Source organism: Homo sapiens, chromosome 16 (assembly GCF_000001405.40).
Source record: "Homo sapiens chromosome 16, GRCh38.p14 Primary Assembly".
In the NCBI taxonomy this organism is placed as follows: Eukaryota; Metazoa; Chordata; class Mammalia; order Primates; family Hominidae; genus Homo; species Homo sapiens.
The window spans coordinates 27,937,208-27,961,208 of NC_000016.10; the positions used below are offsets into that span (position 1 = coordinate 27,937,208).

General features: G+C 46.1%; 1 protein-coding gene across 5 annotated transcripts in view, besides 1 other annotated feature; it reads right to left on the minus strand.

Moving 5' to 3' along the window:
- The window catches only part of GSG1L (GSG1 like), a 276,187-nt gene that overhangs the window by 149,680 nt on the left and 102,506 nt on the right, over positions 1-24,001 (minus strand). The window lies entirely within an intron of this gene.
- Positions 12,223-12,393: a silencer, noted in NCBI's record as "fragment chr16:27960751-27960921 (GRCh37/hg19 assembly coordinates)". NCBI's record gives its function as "represses an EF-1alpha promoter that drives an FKBP-Casp9 reporter gene in an ReSE screen in HepG2 liver carcinoma cells {active_cell/tissue: HepG2}" and the evidence as "EXISTENCE:reporter gene assay evidence [ECO:0000049][PMID:32094911]".

Consider the following 24,001-nt stretch of genomic DNA (forward strand, 5'->3'; position numbering starts at 1 on the left):
TGTTGAGAAGCCAGCGGTCTTTCTCTCTGCTCTTCTGCCTTTTTTTTTTTAATGGAGTCTCGCTCTGTCATCCAGGCTGGAGTGCAGTGGTGTGATCTCGGCTCACTGCAACCCAACCTCCATCTCCAGGTTCAAGTGATTCTCCCGCCTCAGCCTCCCAAGTAGCTGGGATTACAGGTGCCCACCACCATGCCCAGCTAATTTTGTATTTTTTAGTACAGACAGGGTTTCACCATGTTGGCCAGGCAGGTCTTGAACTCCTGACCTCGGGTGATCTGTCTGCCTTGGCCTCCCAAGGTGCTGGGACTATAGGCATGAGCCACCACGCCTGGCCCCTTCTGCCCTCTCGAAGGACCATCTCCCTTGCTGACAGGGCATCTGCCAATCAGCAATCTTTCACCTCTAGGTCACTCTCCAAGTAAGACAGACCAGGGCGATGACTGGGGAGCACTTCCTAAGTCCTTGGCACCATCGTTGAGTTGGCGGCTGGTGGGGGTTTTAGAAAAGAAGAAAAATTGGCTTCAAGGACCACATCCCACTCAAACTAGCTTAACTCCAAAGGAAGTTCTGAGAGGCCACAGGGGACTGTCCTGGGCCCAGGAGGTGTTCGAAGAGCAGACTTAGAACATGAGATGGGGACTCCCTCTCTGTCTCTGATTACCAGGGGTCTTCCCTTGACGCCTCTACACATCCGTTTCATTCTTTTGTTGTGGCGACACCCACATGATGACCATGGCCCCATGGTTGTCTGCCCCACCTCCTAGCTCAGCAGTGCACCTGGTCACCCCACAGTCAATGAAATCTCTAGGTCTCCTTTTCAAAAAAAATCCAAAGAGAGAGATTCTGATTGGTCCAGTTGGAGCCGGGTCCAGCTCAGGTCCAGTGAGCTGAGGCGAGGGGTAGGGTTGCACCATGCAGAGAGGCGCCCCTTGGGGCTGTGGTCAGTTTCATTAATAAGGGAGTGTAGCTGGGGAGGCAATGATTGGCACCACTAATATGGGTGGGGGATGGGGAGTGCACCATTGTTTGGTTTATTATTAGGTTGGGGCACCTGTAGTCCCAGCTACTTGGGAGGCAGAGGCGGGAGAATCACTTGAACCTGGAGATGGAGGTTGGGTTGCAGTGAGCCGAGATCACACCACTGCACTCCAGCCTGGATGACAGAGCGAGACTCCATTAAAAAAAAAAAAAAGGCAGAGGAGCAGAGAGAAAGACCGCTGGCTTCTCAACTGTTCAAAATTCTAGGCTGCCCAAAGGTTCCCATTGAGACAAATGTCCCTGGAAACACTGGCTGGAGCCTTGAGAGCCACAGGAGCAGATGCCCTGCTGGAGAAGGAGATTTCCAAAAGCTGTCCAGGCAGCAGGTCAGAGTGAACATCAGAGCAGCGAAGGTCATCAGGTTATTGTCAGGACGGGCAAGTGCCCACCGCGAGGGACTGAGCTGGCAAAAACCTCTAGGAAGAGCAGAAAAGAGCTCTTCTGTTATGTTCAGGACAAGAGTAAGAAGGTGAGGATGGATGGGCTGCTTGGAGCCAAAGGTAAGATTCTGAAAGCATGGTGGTAGGAAGTGAGCAGAACGTCCCTGATTCTGCTTTGTTTCAGACTCCTCTGGCAAGAAAGAGGATCACTTAAACCACAAAGAGCAGCCCAAGTACTGGCAAGGCAGAGCCAAAGTCCAAATGGAGCCAAGGTTCTGAGCCTTCTGAATGTGTTCCAGCCTCCCAACATGAACAAACATGGACTGTGGCATTGGGACCCTCCGTGAGGATGGATGGATGCTTCATTGCTGTGCAGTGGGGACTCTGGGGAACTAACGGGGAACCCAGCACTTGAAAGCACATAATGACATTCCAACTGCAAAAAAAGAAAGAAACTAGAGTTTGTGAGCTCAAGGGTAGCAAACATTCCAGCTGAATTTTTTTTTTTCTTTTTGAGACAGGGTTTCGCTCCGTCACCCAGGCTGGAGTGCAGTGGTGTGATCATAGTTCACTACAGCCACGACCTCCTGAGCTCAAGCCATCCTTTTGCCTTAGCCTCCAGAGTAGCTAGGACCACAGGCACGCACCACCACACCCAGCTTTTTTAAAATACATTATTTTGTGTAGAGGTGGAGTTTCACTATGTTGCCCAGGCTGGTCTCAAACTCCTGGACTCAAGTGATCCTCCTGCCTCGGCTTCCCAAAGCACTGGGATTCCAGGCATGAGGCACCAGGCCAGCCCCCAAATTCTCAAGTTAACTACAGTGGGATGAACCTTGAGACCTGAACTGAGCTTTTCCCATGCCCTTCCATGAATGTGTCTTTCCCCACATGTAACTGTTGCTGTATGACAGAATGACACACTGGTCAGCAGAGAGGCAGCTCAGGCCACCAGAACAGGACTTCTGAGTTACAAGAGTCTGGGCTTTTAAGTTCAAAAGCCACGGTTTTCACTGTATGTAATATATTTAGAAGAAGAGATGAAAGTCCAGGCTGCCACCTCTCCCCACTCTCCCCATATGCCATACGAAAGTTCCCCTGGCCTGGGGGACCGAGGAAGGGATGTCAGAGAATATGACAGAGACTTCATGCATCACCAAAATTTGTTTTCTTTCCCTCATGCATGCCACCATGCCAGGCTAATTTTTTTTATTGTTGTTGTTGTTTTAACTTTTAGTAGAGACAAGACCTGGCTATGTTGCCTGGGCTGGTCTCGAGCTCCTGGGCTCAAATGATCCTCCTGCCTTGGCCTCCCAAAGTGCCGGGATTACAGGCATAAGCCATCGTGCCTGGCTGGGAAAGACTTTTTAAATAGGCCAGAGAAAAAAACAAACAACCCCATCAAAAAGCGGGCAAGGATACGAACAGACACTTCTCAAAAGAAGACATTTATGCAGCCAAAAAACACATGAAAAAATGCTCATCATCACTGGCCATCAGAGAAATGCAAATCAAAACCACAGTGAGATACCATCTCACACCAGTTAGAATGGCAATCATTAAAAAGTCAGGAAACAACAGGTTCTGGAGAGGATGTGGAGAAATAGGAACACTTTTACACTGTTGGTGGGACTGTAAACCAGTTCAACCATTGTGGAAGTCAGTGTGGCGATTCCTCAGGGATCTAGAACTAGAAATACCATTTGACCCAGCCATCCCATTACTGGGTATATACCCAAAGGACTATAAATCATGCTGCTATAAAGACACATGCACACGTATGTTTATTGCGGCACTATTCACAATAGCAAAGACTTGGAACCAACTCAAATGTCCAACAATAATAGACTGGATTAAGAAAATGTGACACATATACACCATGGAATACTATGCAGCCATAAAAAATGATGAGTTCATGTCCTTTGTAGGGACATGGATGAAATTGGAAACCATCATTCTCAGTAAACTATCGCAAGAACAAAAAACCAAACACCGCATATTCTCACTCATAGGTGGGAATTGAACAACGAGAACACATGGACACAGGAAGAGGAACATCACACTCTGGGGACTGTTGTGGGGTGGGGGGAGTGGGGAGGGATAGCATTAGGAGATATACCTAATGCTAAATGACGAGTTGATGGGTGCAGCACACCAGCATGGCACATGTATGCAGATGTAACTAACCTGCACATTGTGCGCATGTACCCTAAAACTTAAAGTATAATAATAATAAAATAAAATAAAATAAAATAAAAATAAAAAATAAATAGGCCAAAGAAAGCATTAATCCTAAAGAGAAGGATGGATAAATTTAGCTGCTTTAAAATTAAGTATTTCTTTGGATATTTACCTTAAACCATCTATAAAAATTAACTCAATATGGATCAGAGACCTAAACAGAAGAGCTAAAACAATAAAACTCTTAGTAGAAAACAGGAGGAAAACTTCATGACATTGGATTTGGCAACAGTTCCTTGGGTATAAAACCAAAAGCACAGGCATCAAAGGAAAAAATAGATAAACTGAACAACATCAAAATTAAAACTTCTGCATCAAAGGATAATATCAAGACAGTGAAAAGGCAACCCATGCAAGGAGAAAAAATATCTGCGAATCAGAGATATCTGATAAGGTGTTAATATCCAGAATATATAAAGACTCCTCCTGTAACTTACCACCAACAAAAAAACAAACACTGTGATTCAAAAATGGGCAAAAGACTAAGCTATGAGGTTGCAAAGGCATAAGAATGACACAATGGGCTGGGCGCAGTGGTTCATGCCTGTAATCCCAACACTTTAGGAGATCAAGGCGGGTGGATCACCTGAGTTCAGGAGTTCAAGAACAGCCTGGCCAACATGGCTAAACCCCGTCTCTACTAAAAATACAAAAAATTAGCTCGGCATGGTGGCAGGTGCCTATAATCCCAGCTACTCAGGAGGCTGAGGCAGGAGAATCACTTGAACCCCGGGAGGCAGAGGTTGCCGTGAGCCAAGATTGTGCCACTGCACTCCAGCCTGGGGCATAGAGCATGTTAGTGTATCTTCACAACACACAACAGCCAACAGCCAAGGGACCCACCTGTCCCTCAACAGACAAATGGATAAACCAGGTGTGTTACATCCATGCGATGGCATATTAGCCTTAGGAAGAAATGGAATTCTCACACGTGCTGCACCAGAAATGAACCTTGAAGACATTATGTTTCATGAAATAAACCAGACACGCAAATACTGGTGATTCCACTTAGATGAGGTACCCAAAGTAGTCAAATTCATAGAGATAGGAAGTAGAATGGTGATTGCCAGAGGCTGGAAGGAGAGGCAGATGGGAAGTGAGTGCTTAATGACTACAGAGTTTCAGTTTGGGAAGATGAAAAAGTTCTGGAGGTAAATGGTGATGATGGTTGCAGAGAATGTGGATGTATTTAATGCCACTGAACTGTACACTTAAAAATGGTTAAAATGGTAAATTTTATGTTATATATTTTACCATAATAAAAAAAATTAAAACTTCTTCTTTTTTTTTTTTTTTTTTTTGAGACTGAGTCTTGCTCTATTCCCCAGGCTAGAGTGCAGTGGCACAATCTCGGCTCACGGCAACCTCTGCCTCCCGGGTTCAAGTGATACTCCCACCTCAGCCTCCCAAGTAGCTGGGACTACAGGTGCTGGCCACCACATCCAGCTAATTTTTATATTTTTGGTAGAGATGGAGTTTCACCATGTTGGCCAGGTTGGTCTCAAACTCCTGACCTCAGGTGATCCACTTGCCTTGGCCTCCCAAAGTGCTAGGATTATAGACGTGAGCCACCGCACCTGGCCAAAAATGAGAACTTCTTAAAAGACATCTGAGAAAAGGCAAGCCACAGAGTGGGAAAAGGTATTTGCAACATATACAAGCAACAAAGATTATCGTGTGTAAAAAAGACTCCTATAAATCGGTAAGAAAAAGACAATCTAATAGAAACCGTGGCAAAAGATGCAAACAGGCACTTCATGCAAGAGAAGTTCCAAATAGCCATAAACACAAAAAGATGTTCAACCTCATTAGTAATCAGGGAAACGTAAATTGGAAATCACAATGTGATACCATTTCTCACCCACCAGATTGGCAAAATTTATAAATCTGATGAATGCCAAGTATTGTCAAGGATAGAGAGATGGGAATTTTCATAGCCCACTAGTGGGGGTGTAAACTGGTACACACACTTTGCAAAATGGGATAGAAAACTTAATAATGTTGAAGATACACTAAGTCAACCCAGGAATTCCACATCTGGGTAGATGCGAAACCAGTGGTTCTCAGACTGGAGTATGCATGAAAATCACCCACAGGGCTTATGGAACACGAATTGCAGGGTCCACTGCTTCTAGTTCAGGAGGTCCGTAGTGGGACTTGAGAATTTGCAGAGTGGTTTTGTTTGTTTGTTTGTTTGTTTGTTTTTGAGACAGGGTCTCACTCTGTCACCCAGGCTAGAGTGCACTGGCATGATCATAGCTCACTACAGCCTCGAACTCCTGGCCTCAAGTGATCCTCCTGTCTTGGCCTCCCAAAGTGCTGGGATTACAGGCATGAGTCACTGCACCCAGCCAAAATTTGCATTTCTAACAAGCTCCCAGGTGATGCTGATTCCACCAGTTTGAGAATCACACTTGAAGAACCAGTGGCATTGTTCCTAATAAAAACTGAAAATGACCCAAATATCCATTAAGAATAGAATGAACAAATAGAAGGTGGTGTAGCAATACAGCAGAATATTACATAACAATGAAAAGAAATAAACTACAGTTACATGATCAACATAATGTCAAGCAGAAGAAACCAGACACAAAAAAGTACACTGATCACATTTAGGCAAAAAATTCGAAAACAAATAAATCTATATACTTGGTAAAACCACAAGGTGAGATCAGCTAACATTTTCTTTTTCTTTGTTTCTTTTTTTTTTTTTTTTTTTTTTTTTTGAGGCAGAGTCTTGCTGTGTCACCCAGACTGAAGTGGAATGGTGCAATCTCGACTCACTGCAACCTCTGCCTCCAGGGTTCAAGCTATTCTTATGCCTCAGCCTCTCAAGTAGCTGGAACTACAGGTGTGCACCACCACACCCAGCTAATTTTTTGCATTTTTAGTAGAGACAGGGTTTTGTCATGTTGGCCAGGATGGTCTCAAACTCCTGGCCTCAATCCTCCATCCGTCTTTGCCTCCCAAAGTGCTAGGATTACAGGTGTAAGCCACCATGCCCAGCCAGCTAATATTTTCTATAAAGGGACAGACAGTAAATATTTTATGTTGTGCAAGACAGATGGTCTCAGCCATAGACCATACGTAAAGGAGTGGGAGTTGCTGTGTTCTGATAAAACTTTATTTACAAAAAAACACAACAGGCCATAGTTTGGCAACCCTTGTTAGAAAGTGAAGCAAGGCAGTGATGACCCTCCCCTGGGGAAAGGGATTTGGTAGTGGCCAGGAAGGGTTACAGGGGCTTCTGGGAGTCTGACAATGACCCATTTCTTAACCTTAGCTGTAATAAAGTTTTTGCCTTACAATAATTTGTCAGGCTATATATGTATATGTTATGCACCTTGCTGCATTGTACTAATTTCCCAATTTTAAAAAGGTTTTAAAAATAAATAAATAAATCATGAATAGATCAAGAAAATGTAGTCTACCCATACAATGCAATATTATTTTGCAATAAAAAGGAAGGAATGGGCCGGGTGTGGTGGCTTACTCCTGTAATCCCAGCACTTTGGGAGGCCGAGGCGGGAAGATCACCTGAGGTCAGGAGTTTGAGACCAGCCTGGCCAACACGGCAAAACCCTGTCTCTACTAAAAACAAAAAAATTAGCTGGGTGTGGTGGCATGTACCCATAATCCCAGCTACTCGGGAGGCTGAGGCAGGAGAATTGCTTGAACCCAGGAGGTGGAGGTTGCAGTGAGCCGAGATCACGCCACTGCACTCCAGCCTGGGTGACAGAGTGAGACTCTGCCTCAAAAAAAAAAAAAAAGGAAGACGTGAAGTACTGACACCCACCACATTATGAATGAACCTTGCAAACATTATGCTAAAGAGAAAGAAGCCAGTCACAAAAGTCCACATATTCTATGCCTTCGTTTTTATGTGCCTATAATTAGCAAATCTATAGAGATAGAAAGTAGATCAGGGCCAGGTATGGTGGCTCACACCTGTAATCCTAGCACTCTAGGAGTCCCAGGCAAGAGGATCACTTGAGTCCAGAAATTCAAGACCGACCTGGGCAACACAGTGAGACCTCATCTCTACAAAAAATAAAACAAAATTAGACGGGCATCGTGGCGTGTACCTGTAGTCTCAGATACTCGGGAGGCTGAGCTGGGAGGAGCACTTGAGCCCAGGAGGTGGAGGCTGGAGTGAGTTATGATTGTGCCACTGCAGTCCAGCCTGGGTGACAGAGGGAGACCCTGTCTCAAAAAAAAAAAAAAAAAAAATAGATCAGTGTTTGCCTCCGTCTCTTGGAGGTGGGAGGATTGAGGGGTAAGTGCTCAAGTAAATGGGGTTCCTTTTCAGGTTGATGAAAGTGCTCTAAAATTGATAGTGATGATTGCACAACTCTGAATACACTAAAAACCACTGAATTATACACTTTAAACAGGCAAATTGAATGGAAGTGAATTACATCTCAAAAAAGCTGCTATCAGAAATTTCTTTAATGTAAAACTAATGAATAAAACTGACAACCTCTGCCCTCACCGCCAGAGATGGGCCAGGGAGAGGCATGTGTGACAAGATCAACCAGACAGAAACCGGCTTTGGAGAAATCACTAGCCCCTCCCCCTGCTCCAGAAGCCCCCAGTCCCACATGGGACCCTTTCTCTGCCTTTGGCAAACGCGAGCGGAAGATCGGAAGCCCAGGAGGCCAGAGATTCTGCAGACAAGCAGGGGCCAGGGCATCCCCGCCAAGAGACAGAGGACTTTTTAAATCCAAAATGAAATTTCAAGCAGACGCCTGAGCAAAGTAAACCCCAGCCGGTTCTGCGGAGCCAATTGCCGGGCAGCCAATGGGAGAGGGGGCTCCAGCCCTCTGGGAACAGTTCCTCTGAAAGGACCTCTCTCCTGAGTTTCCAGTTCCTGGTGGCTTCAAGGCGTAGGTAGGGGTCTCAGGGGCATGGGCCTCTCTGCTCCCCGTGCAGGCTGAAGGTGGCACATTTGGAGGTTCTGTGTTACATCTCAGGCTTTGCAGCATCTCCAGGGAGCCTGACAGATGGCTGCAAATGATGAGGCCACAGGAGCCAGCAGATGGGATGCCTGATGAGCAGAGGGTAACTCGGGTCCCCTCAGCTGCTGCCTCCCTCCTGCTCCACGCAGGCCCTGACAGCTGTGAGCCAAGGGGCCTCCCCGCCAGGTCAGAACACACAGCAAAGCAGACCAAAGAAATTCCTGGGCCTGAGCAGTGGAAGAGGAACCAGGAGGCACCAGGCAGGGTGAAAAGGCCCATGAGGTGTGGCTGAAATAGCACAGGACTGACGGGATACGTCACTTTGCTGTGTGACCTCAGGCAAGTGGCTCAACTTCTCTGAGTCAGCTGCCCGGCCACTCTGGTGTAAAGCAGAGATCACAGTACCTAACCCAAAGAGCTGTCGAAAGAACTAAATGAGGTCAGTCGCGGTGGCTCATGCCTGTAATCCCAGCACTTTGGGAGGCCAAGGTGGGCAGATCACTTGAGGTCAGGAATTCGAGACCAGCCTGGGCAACATGGCGAAACCCTGCCTCTACTAAAAATACAAAAATTAGCCGGGTGTGGTGGCGGGCACCTGTAATCCCAGCTACTCAGGAGGCTGAGGCAAAAGAATCGCTTGAGCCCAGGAGACAGAGGTTGCAGTGAGCCGAAACTGTGCCATTGCACTCCAGCCTGGGCCACAGAGCAAGACTCTGTCTCAAAAAAAAGAAAGAAAGAAAGAAAGAAAGAAAGAAAGAGAGAGAGAGAGAGAGAGAGAGAGAGAGAGAGAGAGAGAGAGAGAGAGAGAAAGAAAGAAAGAAAGAAAGAAAGAAAAGAAAGAAAGAAAGAAAGAAAGAAAGAAAGAAAGAATTAAATGAAGCAAGGGGTATGAGAGTATCAGGCTGTGAATGGAATTCTGTGCGTTATTCTATAAAGCTTAGTTGAATGTTTTAGCTGAGTAGAAATAAACGCAAACTGAGTTATTCCAAGTTAGCCTTCCAGCTGGCTGGGCCACACTGAAGAGATGGGGGAAATCCGACAGGATATTCAAGCTGGAGTTTGAGCCAGACGTTGTGCTAACTCCTCACATGGATCATCCCACTTGATTCTCAGAAGAATCCCACAAAGTGGACGCTGTTATCCCTATTTTACAGATGAAGACATGAAGTCACTAAAAGGATCAACAGCACGCCTGAGGCCCCACCACTAGAGAGCCAGAGCTGGAATCTGAACCCAGAGCCCGGCTCTCAAAGCCCTGCATCTAAATCCAAGCCCTGCTACTGACCTGGAGCAAGTTTTGTTTTTGTTTTGTTTTGTTTTGAGACAGAGTCTTGCTCTGTCACTCAGGCTGGAGTGCAGTGGTGCAATCACAGCTCACTGCAGTCTCGACCTCCCTGGCTCAAGCCATCCTCCTGCCTCAGCCTCCCGAGTAGCTAGGACTACAGGTATGTACCACTACGCCTGGCTAATGTTTCTTAACCTCTCTGAGCACAGCTTCCTGATCTGAAAAAAGGAGAAGAAAGAAGAAGAAGGAGGAGGAGGAGAGAAAGAAAGAAAGAAAAAGAAAGAAAGAAAGAAAGAAAGAAAGAAAGAAAGAAAGAAAGAGAAGGAAGGAAGGAAAGAAGAAGGAAGAAAGGGAGGGAGAAGAGAAAGAAAGGAAGAAAGAAAGAAAGAGAAAGAAAGAAGGAAAGAAAGAAAAAGAAAGAAAGAATGAAGGAAAGAAAGAAAGAAAGAAAGAAAGAAAGAAAGAAAGAAAGAAAGAAAGAAAGAAAGAAAAAGAAAGAAAGAAAAAGAAAAGTTCTCTGTGGGTTGTGTGATAACATGCATGAAAGGGATGAGTATACTCAGTGAGTGCTTACTGTATATGTCAGGGTCGGGCTAAGGGAAGTTGCCCCAGAGACAGGACCCTATTTCTTAAGGACCGGTATGCAGGAGGCATACTTCATATGCTCAGTCCATGGCAGCCACAAAGAGTTCTATCTCTGGGCCTCAATTTCCTCATCTGTTAAATGGAGCAAGTGGGACCGGCTCTCGGAGCCCTTTGCACTCTGACATTCCATGCACAAGGGTCAGACTATTTTCCTGGAACTAGAAGCACAAGAAGAAGAAAGCAGAAGGAGGTGCCTGAGGCTGGAGGGCCTCAGAGAATCACAAGTGTCACCCCCATGGTGTGACGGCCAAAGGGGAGGAATAAAGATTCCTCCCCAGCCCTACCTGGCCGACACTTACCTCGCCCTTTCCTTTCACTGGATTTCACTCCTTACCCCCCTTGCTGGGGCAGTCTTTTCTATTTTATTAGTTCACCTGGGGACAGGAAGTAAAATGGCAAAGGCTAGGACTCTGCAGCCCCTACCCAGGTTCAGAGCCACCTCTGCCACTTAAAACGCACATGATCTTGGTTGGGAAAGATGATGTAAACTACCTGGGCCTCAGTTTCCCCATCCATAACCTAGTGTAACAGCAGTACAACCTCTTCAAGTTGTTGGGGAATCAAGTGGGCCTGGCATGTTGCTAAAACAGAAATAAGGTTTTGGTATTCTTATTCTTATTCTTATTCTTATTACTTTGAGGCAGGGTCTCGCTCTGTTGTCCAGGCTGGAGTGCAGTGGCGTGATACTGGCTCACTTCAACCTCCACTTCCCAAGTTCAAATGATTCTCCTGCCTTGGCCTCCCAAGTGGCTGGGATTACAGGCACCCACCACCACGCCCAGCTAATTTTTGTATTTTTAGTAGAGACGTGATTCCACCATGTTGGCCAGGCTGGTCTTGAACTTCTTCTTCTTCTTTTTTTTTTTTTTTTTTGAGATGGAGTCTCGCTCTGTTGCCCAGGCTGGAGTGCAATGGCTCAATCTTGGCTCATTGCAAGCTTCACCTCCCAGGTTCACGCCATTCGCCTGTCTCAGCCTCCCGAGTAGCTGGGACTACAGGCGCCCGCCACCGCACCCGGCTAATTTTTTGTATTTTTAGTAGAGACGGGGTTTCATCGTGTTAGCCAGGATGGTCTCAATCTCCTGACCTCGTGATCCGCCTGCCTCGGCCTCCCAAAGTGCTGGGATTACAGGTGTGAACCACCGCACCTGATCTATTATTATTATTATTATTATTATTTTGAGAAAAGATCTCATTCTGTTACCCAGACTGGAATGTGGTGGCTCAATCATGGCTCACTACAGCCTCTACCTCCCAGGCTCAAGTGATCCTCCCACCTCAGCCTTCCGAGTAGCTGGGACTACAGGCACGTGCCACCATGCGCAGCTAATTTTTTATTTTTTTAGAGACAGGGGTCTTGTTATGCTGCCAAGGCTGGTCTCTAACTCCGGGGCTCAAGCAATCCTCCCACCTTGGCCTCCCAAAGTGCTGGATTACAGGCATGAGCCACCGCCACTACTCTATCATCATTATTATTATTAATTTGAAAGCATCTTGAAAAAATAAACTGGCATACTAAAACTATGAGTTGACAGATATTACTGCTCAGGATGAGACTAAAATAATTAGACTTTTTCAGTGAATGAATGTGAACAGAAATAGTAAATGAGCAGTGGTATGGGAGGCGGGTATGGCACACGGCCGAAATTGGGAAGGCAGCGTGAAATGAAAATGAACAGCCCTTCGTTGAAAGATTATTAAGAATTTCTCAAGACAGTAACCAAGTGTGGTGGCGCAAGCCTATAGTCCCAGCTACTTGGGAGGCTGAGGCGGGAGGATTGCTTGGGCCCAGAAGTTCGAGGTTACAGTGAGCTACGATTGCACCACCGCACTCCAGCCTGGACGATAGAGTGAGACCCCATCTCTAAAAAATAAAAAGGAAACATGACAGGCCGGCGCAGTGGCTCACGCCTGTAATCCCAGCAATTTGGGAGGCCGAGGCGGGCGGATCACGAGGTCAGGAGATCGAGACCATCCTGGCTAACACGATGAAACCCCGTCTCTACTAAAAATACAAAAAATTAGCTGGTTGCGGTGGTGGGCGCCTGTAGTCCCAGCTACTCGGGAGGCTGAGACAGGCAAATGGCATGAACCCGGGAGGCAGAGCTTGCGGTGAGCCGAGATTGCGCCACTGCATTCCAGCCTGGGCGACAGAGTGAGACTCCGTCTCAAAACAAACAAACAAACAAACAAACAAAAAGGAAACATGACAAAATAGTGTCCCAGATTTCCAGCATAACACAGGCAGTGTGGTTTAGCAATGAGGTGCAAGTATAGACATGTATGATGATGTTGTCTTTTTTAACCCTATCTGTGAATCCCTGGGCCCCTCATACAGGATGTTCACTGCCCAACCCTACGCCATCATAGATCAGTACAAATTGTGAGCCTTCGAGTTATATTATCATTTCTCATAGCAAAGCATGCTAAGACCACAGAGCCATTTAGAAATTTAAATTACTGCTGTTTACCCTTAACAGAGTCTATTTGCCATGGAGAAACTGTTTCCAATTACAAAACATGAAGGCTGGTCACCGTTTGGGGTTAATATGATGCTCTGTGGAAGAGTGAGCAGGCAAGACTGCCCAAATACCTAATTACCTGGAAAGATAATCTTGAATAATTGGAATTAGAGCAACTAAAGCAATTATTAGATGTTGTGATCTCCAGGAGCAATCTTCCACCAGGCTTAGGGATTTAATCACCTTTAATAAGAGCACATAATTAGAGGAATCCAGAAATTCAGAAAAGAAAGTGGCAGAACCAGCACTTCAGAATTAAGGAGGTGGGAGGGCCAGGTGTGTTTCTCAAGCAAATGCGTCTCGAGGGATGGCTGAGAAGGAAGGGTGGGTAGCAGGGTAGGCTTGAAAACCTCGGAAGCCTAGAGGCTGAGCCTGACTCTGACCTAAACCTGCTGTGTGACCTTGAGCAAGGCAGTTGACCTCTCTGGGCTCTCCCTTCCTTCCACCCTTCAGTCACTTAGCTATGTCCACTGAGCACCTGCCAGGTTCCCAGCACTGAGATACTCAGTGTCGCCTTTTGCACAGGCTGTTCATTCTACTGGGACTTCCTCTGACACCCCTCATGCACGAGAAGGAATTGCATTCTGTCTTCGAGATGCTTCCAACATGGCGCTCCTCCACTCAATCTTCCTAGACTGCCATCACACCGCAGCCCTCTGTCTCCCCTCACGGATTGTGAGTCTGGATCCCCTCATCTGCCTTCCCACTAGAAGATGAGCTCTTCAAGAACAGAGCGAGGTTAGGGATGGTTCTCCTCCCTGCCTTATTTCCTGACACACACCCTGGCATCAAGGGATACTGACGACTGGCCCAAGGCAAGATGGACGAAGGTTACTGCAGCCCACTCCTGAAAGCGAGGTTGCAGTCTGCCCTGCCTCCGAGAATTAACTGGCATCAGGTGAGCCAGCCTCTGCTGTGAGTTGACTGACAATGGCCAGGCATCATAGGAAGATTCTAGAGCTCCACGATGGAGCAGGGCCATTCAGATGGTGGACAGTTCCCAACCTGGGTCGCAGGGCTGGGAGTATTATCTCCATACTATCTGGGAATGGTAGGTGAGAAGGAGTAATGGAGTGTGACCAGTATCCTGCCTTTCTGTGTCTTGAAATGTCTGTCTCTTTGAAATGGAAAGAATCACAGCTTCCATGTTTCTGGGCCCTGGACCACCAGGAGGTACCCAGTCCCTCGGGAGCATCGAGTGAGAGTAATTGATGCAGTCTGGGGATGAAGGAGGGCTTTGTGGAGGCAGGACCTTTGGGTTGGCTCATGAAGGTTGATGGAGGGTTCCCCAGACAGCCAGGGGTGTAAAGAGCATTGATTAACTCTCAGGCAAAAAGATGCTCTAGCCACCTGGCGTATTCCGGCTGCAGCCAGTAGGTTGACCTGTTTTTAGCTCAGATGTCAGTTTGGGCAGCTGTGGAAGCAGCTGTGGAGAGGGGCTCCCCTCTCTGCTCAGCATGCTCTGATCTATGCACGTTTCAGTTCTATGACATAAATCAATAAAAAGCACTAAATAAATTAAGTGAGCAGCAGAATTGTAAATCGATTTCAGGCGGAGAACAGAGAGGTTGAGGGAACGAACAAGAGACTATTATAGGAACTGAAGTGAGAAATGACTCACGCAAGACTCAAGAGTGTGACCATGGAGCCAACCACATTGTTACACATCCCTGAAATATTAAACAAATGAAACCTACAAGCTTTGGAGATTGCTTCACAAAAATTGCTGGCTGGTGGCTGCCAGAAATCCCAGGGCACCAAGAAACAGGAGCAGGGAGCAGGGATGACTTAAAATACAGTTCAACCCAGGTGGGTCAGAGGAGATCACAGCTTCAGGAGTCAGATCCAGGTTTCTAAGCCCAAATGGGCCACCCACTATCTATAACCTGGCCCCTATTCATTCACTCATTCACCCATTCATTTATTCAACAAACCTTTACTAAATTCTTGCTCTGTACAGCCCCGTCGGGCACACAGGCGCCACAAAGACAAGATGCAGTGCTTGTGTTGAGGGAGTATCCAGCCTGCTGGAGGAGGTCACCACAACACAGCGGGATCAGTGCTCAGAGGACCAGTCTCTGTAAGTAGGTTCCTCTGGGGGTTTAGGGATAGCTTTTCACAAAAGGTCATTTCTAAGCTGGGTTTTGAAGGATGAATATAAGTTTGCAAAGCAAACGAGGTGGTAAAGGCAAGTCAGGCAGAGGGAACAGCACATGCAAAGGCACAGAGGCATGAGAGGTGATGGATAGTTTGGGGGAAATGGATGTGTGCAGAGCATCAGGACTGGAGCACAGGATTCACATAAGGGACTGTAGGAGGCAGGGATTGAAAAGGCAGACAAGAACTAGACCGTGCTGGGCCATAAATGCCAGGTTAAAATGCCCTGTGTATGTTTGAGAGCCATGCAAAGGTTTTCAGCAGGGGCCTGATGTAACTGGATTTTCATTTTAGAAAGATAATTTGAAATTCAGCATAGGAAACACTTTTCTTTCCTTTTTAGCAAAGTATACAACACGCACACAGAAAACTGCATATATCCTAAGCATGCAGCTTGGTGAACTTCCTTTAAACTGAACATATACACATAATTAGCACTCAGATCAAGAAACATAATGCTGCCAGCTGCCAAGCCCTCCGCAAGTTCCCTTTCAGTTACACCTTCTCTGCAAGGGCAACCGCTGACCCAACTTCTAACAATACAGATAGGGCTTCTGCATTTTCCGGTTTTGCAGGAATGCAATCATATGGAATGTATTCTTTTGAATGCAGCTTCTTTTACCTAACATCCATGTTGTGAGCAGTCATATTTGTTTTTTTCTTTTCTTTTTCTTTTAGAAACAGAGTCTCACTATGTCATCCAGCCTGGATTGCAGCATGATTACAGCTCACTGCAACCTCTACCTCCTGGGCTCAAGTGATCCTCCTGCCTCAACCTCACAAGTAGCTGGGAGTACAGGTGCGTGCCACCACACTGGGCTAATTTATAAATTTTTCATAGAGATGGGGTCTTGCTGTTTTGCCCAGCCTGGTCTCAAATTTCTGGCTTCAAGCGATCTTCCCACCTTGGCCTCCCAAAGCACTAGGATTACAGGTATGAGCCACCATGCCTGGCTGTACATTGTTCATTTTCGTTGCTCTATAGTTTTCCATTAGGTGTGTTGATGAGCATTGAGGAATGGATTTTAAGCAGCGCAGACTGGAGTCTGGGAGGCCAACTGAGAGATTATTGTCATGGCAGGAGAGATGTGATGAGAAGCAGAAAGGGGCTGTGGCAGTGGAGATAGAGAAGACGCACCAATGCAAAAGGTATTTAGGAGATAGGCTGGGTGCAATGGCTCATACTTGTAATCCCAGCACTTTGGGAGGCCAAGGTGGGCAGATCACTTGAGGTCAGGAGTTCAAAACAAGCCTGGCCAACATGGTGAAACCTCATCTCTACTAAAAATACAAAAATTAGCCAGGCATGGTGGTGCATGCCTGTAATGCCAGCTGCTCGGAAGGCTGAGGCAGGAGAATTGCTGGTACCCAGGAGGCAGAGGCTGCAGTGAACAGAGATTGCACCACCGCACTCCAGCCTAGGTGACAGAGCAAGACTCCATCTCAAAAAAACAAAGAAACAAAGATATTTATGAAACAAAAGAAACTGAACTTGTCAAATAATTGAATTTGGAAAGAGTTGAGGATGACCTTCTGGTTCCTGGCTTTGGAATCAGAGCAGATAATGGTGAAGACAGGACAATGGACAAAGAAGGGTCAAGTGTTTTCTATTGTGGACCAGCTGAGTTTGCAGTCCCTGGGGGCACTCAGGAGGAAGTGTCCAGGAGGCAGTTGGAGGTGGAATCTAGAGCTCAGGAGAGAGACCTGGGTTTACAAAGTCAAACCTGGGATTGAACATGGGGCTGAACCAAAGGCCACTGCTCTCTTTCAATACCGCCAATCATTACAGTTAAGGAATAAGAAAGTCATAAATCCTCAGAACAAAGAGGATGTGACAAGAGATAACAATAGAAAAAAAAGATGGCAGCAACATTTTAAAAGCTAGAAATTTCATGAATAGTTGGTTAATGACTTAGCAGATAGGAGAAGGCTGGAAGTTGACTACCCGCATGGAGGAAGCCACAGAGGAAACTTCAGAAAATCCTTCAAATAGAGGAACCAGGCCCAGCTGAGCTCCATACTGAAAACCAAGAATTAAGTGAAAGTCTACATGTGTGCCACTGAGATACCTCCCAGGCCCCCCATTTGATTCCCAGAATGCTGATGGCTGAGTTTATTAATACACTGGAGATGGGAGAGTTCCTCTTGCGGGAAACTGATCAGTGCAAGAGAAAAAGCCTCGTGACAGTGCGTATGGGTTCATCAGATGAACTTTTTGTTTTGTTTCATTTTGTTTTTGAGACAGGGTTTTGCCCTGTCACCCAGGCTGGAGTGTGGTGGTACGATCCTAGCTCACTGCAGCCTTGAACTCCCCAGCTCAAGCAATCCTCCCATTTCAGCCTTCTGAGTAGCTAGGACTGCAGGTACACACCACCATGTCCAGTTAATTTTATTTTTAAATTTTTCATAGAAACAGGGGTCTCACTATGTTACCTGGGCTGGTCTGGAACTCCTGGCCTCAAGCAATCCTCCTGCCTCAGCCTCCCAAAGTGCTGGGATCACAGATGTGAGCCATCATGCCTGGCCCAAATGAACTTTTTGGATGAGGAGTTTATAGCTCAGATGATTGGGAAGTCCATTGGCCAATATTCTCCCCATCTCCACTGTATCTTGAGCTTCAAAATAGTAAGTTCGCACCTCACTGTTAAACGTGAACATCAGATGTTTAAGGAAAACAATATAAAAGACAGTTGAAATTAAAATAAGATAGGCAAAAGAACTTGGAAGAAACAGAGACATTAAAGGGTAGAGAAGCAAACTTAAAAAAATTAATATCATTGGAGAAATATGAGAAGATATTGTGTCCATAAAACAAAAGCAGGAGACTATTAAAAAAAAGAACATTCCTATAACAAGAAAAAGCTCTTAAAATTAAAAGTATGACTGTAGAAATGTTAAAAGTAGACTGGCTGATTGAAATATAAAAATTGAATAAATATCTGAGGAATAAATAAAAAGGCAAATAAAAATGAAAATGGAAGATTAAAAAAAAGTGAGAACAGAAAATAAGATATTAAAAGCTTCCAGAGAGGGGAAAAAATCAGATCACACAAAAGAATCAGAATAACATTGAAATTTTCAACAACACTGGAGTCTGGAAGACAAGGGAGCAGCCAATCCTTCCCAAATTTTGTGGGAAAATTATTTCCAACCTAAAATTTTATACCCAGCAAAACATCTAGTCAAGTGTGACAGACAAATAAAAACAACATGAGACATAAAGGGTCTCAACCATGCTGTCTTTCTCAGGAAGTTACTGGAGGATATTTTTCCCCAAAATGAGGAAGTAATCCAGAAAGAAGACTACCTGGGATCCAGGAAGCAGTGGAGCCAACATGAGAGAGGGGAGGAAATTTCAAAATAATGGTAAAAAGGGCTTCCAGAATAACAGCCCTAGATAATCATTGAGTCAAAATGGGGCTGCAGGTCAAAAGACTCCATAAGAGAAGAGGAAGGAAGGAAGGAAGGAAGGAAGGAAGGAAGGAAGGAAGGAAAGAAGGAAGGAAGGAAGGGAGGAAGGAAGGACAGGAGGGAGGGAGGGAGAGAAGAAGGAAAGGAGGAAGTGTTATTATAATTAGCCAGTTGTCTTTGAAGACATTGAGAGAACATTTACACATTTGCCAATAATTTGCAAAAAGGATGAACAGTTTTCTTTTGAAGCTAGAAAGTTTAATGATAGTTGGTTAATCTAGAAAATTTAATGATAGTTGGTTAATCTGGAAGGTTTCATGACTGTTAATAGTTATATATTTTTAACCAGAAAGTTGGCCAAAGTCTGTGCACATAAAACAGTTCTTCAATCTCAGAAGAGGAAGCAATAATAGACCATTTAGCAGCCTGATGCCAACCAGGTTATAGATAAATATTCAAATATTTAGGTCACTTTGGGAGAAATAAAGATCCTGACAATGACCAGAGGAGACCTTGACAAGCAAATTAATGAGTCTCACACTCATGACCAGAAATCCAGCCAGGCTGGCTCCAGCTGCCACCCATCCTTGAGACCTATGGTCAGGTCCGGGTGTGGTCACTTAAATTATTGATCAGCAAACATTCACTCCAAACACCCCACCCATTCCTCCATGTGAGCAGTATACTTCTTGCCCCATTGATGTTGGACTTGGCCATGGGACTGGCTGTGGCCAATGGGATGTTGGTGGATATGATCCAAACAAGGTTTAAAATGTGCTTGTGCAGTTGGCTCCCCATCTTGCATTTCTGTCATTACCATGAAAAAACCTCCACCAAGCACCTACTATCCCCTCTACCTGAACAGACACAAGTGGGGCAGATTGAGCCCAGCCTATATCCTGGAACCAAGCCTTCCGACATGAGCTAAACTCAAGAAAACCCACAGACATGTGAGGAAAAAAAAAAAAACTGTGTGAATGCCACTGAGTTGTGTGAATGCCACTGGGTTGTGTGATAGCTCGTTACATAACATTATTGTTGGTCTTACTGGCCAATGCACCAGGTTTTAAGATTATCCTGTGGGTCACAGTTATTTGGTAGGAGACTCTTGCCCTAGTGAATAAATGACTGAGGTTTTGAGAGACAAAGGAACCCTTGAGGAGGAAGACAGGGAAGTAGGAGAAACTTTTCTCTGCATGTTCAGTATCAAGTTCACAACATCAACTGGGTGCGGTGGCTCATGCCTGTAATCCCAGCACATTGGTAGGCCAAGGCGGTTGGATCACCTGAGGTCAGGAGGTCGAGATCAGCCTGGCTAACATGACAAAACCCAGTCTCTACTAAAAATACAAAATAGCTGGATGTGGTGGCACACGCCTGCAGTCCCAGCTACTCGGGAGGCTGAGTCACGAGAATCACTTGAACCCAGGAGGTGGAGTTTGCAGTAAGCCAAGATCACACTACTGCACTCCAGCCTGGGTGACAGAGCAAGACTCCACCAAAAAATAAAAAATAAAAAAGTTCATAACATGGAGGCATTGCTGTTGATCTGCGTTTGTACATTTCATCTTAAGTTGCTCAGGCATCTTTGATCACTTTCTTCTTCTCTGCCTGGCACAATCTACTGTGCAGACCTTTGTTATACTGCTTATACTGTCTTGCCAGTGGTACTCCAGTGCTGGGCTAGGACTTGGAGACCCAGAGGTAAATGAGAAATTATGCTACCCATCGAAGGTCTTGGGCTTGTAAGGGACAGAGAGATGTGCACAAGTCACTGTTATTCAGCTACAATACAATACAGAACACTCAAGTGCAGTTCAGCTAGACAGCCTGGTTTAAACACATGTCAATATACGTGATAGTCCATGTTGCACTGCTATAAATACCTGAGGCTGCGTAATTTACAAAGAAGAGGTTTATTTGGCTCACAATTCTGCAGGCTGTATAAGCATGGCGCCAGCATCTGCTTGGCTTCTGGTGAGGCTTCAGGAAGCTTTTACTCATGGTGGAAGATGTAGAGGAAGCAGGCATGTCACATGGCAAGAGAGAGAGTGAGAAAGAGAGGAGAGGAGGTGCTAGGCTCTTTTAAATAACAAGCTCCAGTGTGAACTAATACGGTGAGAATTCACGCATTACCAAGGGGACGGCACCAAGTCATTCACGAGGGATCCACCTCCATGACTCAAACACTTCCCACTGGGCCCCACCTCCAGCATTGAAGGTCACATTTCAAAATGAGATGTAGAGGGGACACACATTCAAACTATATCAGTCACAGGCCAGGCACGGTGGCTCACTCCTGTAATCCCAGCACTTTGGGAGGCTGAGGTGGGCAGGCCCACCTGAGGTCAGGAGTTCGAGACCAGCCTGACCAAATTGGTGAAACCCTGTCTCTACTAAAAATACAAAAATTAGCCAGCTATGGTGGTAGGTGCCTGTAATCCCAGCTAGTCGGAAGGCTGAGGTAGGAGAATTGCTTGAACCTGGGAGGTGGAGGTTGCAGTGAGCCGAGATCATGCCACTGCACTCCAGCCTGGGCAACAAGAGACAAGAGTGAGACTCCATCTAAAAAAAAAAAAAAAAGAAAAGAAAACTATATCAGTCATCATGCGATAGAATATCCTACACCTGTTTCAAGATAAGGACAAGTTCTATGTACTGACATGAATAGCAAACCATGATTTTATATATCAAATATATGTATGTACATACGTGTGTGTATGTATACATTTTTTTCAAGAACTGATAAACCAAACCATTCATATTAAATACCCAAGGGTGGGTTTATAAGAGACTTTCATCTGTAATTTACGCACTTGGGGCTATCAAAACTTCTTTTTCTTTTTTTTGAGACAGAGTCTTGCTCTGTTGCCCAGGCTGGAGTGCAGTGGCATGATCTCGGCTCACTGTAACCTCCACCTCCCGGTTCAAGCCATTCTCCTGCCTCAGCCTCCCAAGTAGCTGGGATTACAGGTGCATGCCACCATGCCCAGTTAATTTTTGTATATTTAGTAGAGACAGGATTTCACCATGTTGGCCAGGCTGGTCTCAAATTCCTGACCTCAGGTGATCTGCCCGCCTTGTACTCCCAAAGTGCTGGGATTACAGGCATGAGCCACTGCACCCGGCCACGGTTGTTAAAATTTCTATAACAAGTGTGTATAATCGTGATACTGTGATATAACAAAAAACATATATTTGGTCTCATGGTTCCTGGCAAACAGCTGCTAAAACCCTTGAAACCTCTGGAGTGATGAGAGTGTCTTACGTGTGCTAATGAACTGGCTGTTGATTGGGGTTTCCTAGGTAGCTTCAGGATAGGGGTTCACTTGACCAGGTGCAGTGGCTCATGCCTGTAATCCCAACACTTTGGGAGGCCAACGTGGGAGGATCGTTTGAGTCCAGGAGTTTGAGACCAGCCTGGGCAACATGACGAAACCCCATCTCTACTAATAATACAAAAAAAAAAAAAAATTAGCCGGGCATGGTGGCGTGCGCCTGTAATCCCAGCTACTCGGGAGGCTGAGGCAGGAGAATCGCTTGAACCTGGGAGGCAGAGGTTGCAGTGAGCCAAGATCACACCACTGCACTCCAGCCTGGGCAACAGAGTGAAACTGTGTCAAGAAAAGAAGAGAAGAGAGGAGACGAGACAAGACGGGAAGGGAGGGGGAGGGAAGGGGAGGGGAGGGAAGGGGAGGGAAGGGAAGGGGAAAGAGAGAAAGGGCAGAAGGGCAAAAGGGAGGACGGGAGAAAGGAAGAAAGAAAGAAAAAATGACCATTTGGGCACCAAGCGTGGGGCATGGTAGTGCGCACCTGTAGTCCCAGCTACTCGGAGCCTAAGGCAGAAGGATTGCTTGAGCCCAAGAGTTCAAGGCGGCAGTGAGCTACGATCGCACCACTGCACTACAGATTGGGCAACAGAGCAAGACCCCATCTCAAAATATAAAATACAGATCATTCAGGTACCAAGCAAATCAGGGAGCAAGAATGAAAGGAGGTAACCACTTACAAGATTGTGGCAGGAATCCGGATAAAAAATGGTTGTGGCTTAGGCTAGCATAAAACAAAAAAGACATTTCCCATGTAAAACACAAAACTAGAATAGTCAGGCAAACGAAGAAAAATGTGTGATGCTATGGTAAGAAACTGATGATGGACAAATATTTTGCCAGGAGGGAGAGGGTAGGTGAGCAGGGGACAAGAGGGTATTGGAGAAAATGGGAATGGGGAAGTGGCATTTGAGAAGGGCCTGGAAATCTTGAAATCATGCCTGCGGTTTGCCAGGTGGGAGGAGCTGGAGGCAGGAAGGAAAGCACTCACCGGACCTCAGCTGATAAAGGGAGTACAGATATCCCCCAGGCTCAGAAGCCCTAAGCTTTTCAGCAGGAGAACCAGACATTTAAGAGCCAGACTGTTCAGGTTCAAATCCCAGTTCCCCCATTTTCCAGCCGTGTGGTTGCTCTGTACCTCAGTTTCCTCACCTGTAAAATGGGGATTACAGGAGCCAACGTGTGCCAAGTTCTCAGCATAGCACCTGGCACACAGTAACTACCGTATGAAAGCCAGTTAGTGCCAGTGTCGCGATTATCGTATGTGGCAGACCAGAAAGATGCCAGGAGGGATGTCCCAGAGGGAGCCAGTGCGGGAGCCATAACATAGGGAAAGAGTATTCCTTGGGAGAACACAGCTGAGTGTGGACATCCAACCCCGCACACTTGTTCCCAGTGCGGCTGGGAACAAGTCCCTCGTCTCTCTGCCCTCAGATTCCTCTGTGAAATGGAGAAGCTGAGTGTGGTGGGGAGAAAATGGATGGGTCTGAGGGTGCCACGTTACTGCGGGTGTCTACTGGAAGGGCTGGGCCCGTATACATGGGGGGAGGCCACACGGGCTGCCTTGGACCAAACCCTGCCAACCTCAAGCGAGAGCTACAGTGTTTGAGAGACAGCGAGTACGTGAAAATCATTCAGCACCTCAGTGGCAAAGCCAGCCCACTCAGCCTCCTTGTAAACATTTTTATATACACAGCCAGAAGGTTCTCGGTGTGGCTGCCAAGCCCTAAAAGTAAAATCACAAGGCCAGTAAAACACAAAGATACAACCTCTTTGGGGTTCTTGTAAAAGAAGCAAAATAAAGGCCTGATACCTTCTGGAGGGGCACAGGCCACCCACCTGCCACTGTACACAGACACACACACACACACGTACTCAAATTCACACACGCACTCACATGGGCACACAACCCGTATGTGCTCACCCTAGAACACACCTGTGCTTATGCACACATGGCACCTGCACTTACATGTGCACGCATGTGTACACGCCTCCATGCCCACGTTCACACATGCTCACCCAGCTCATCCACAGG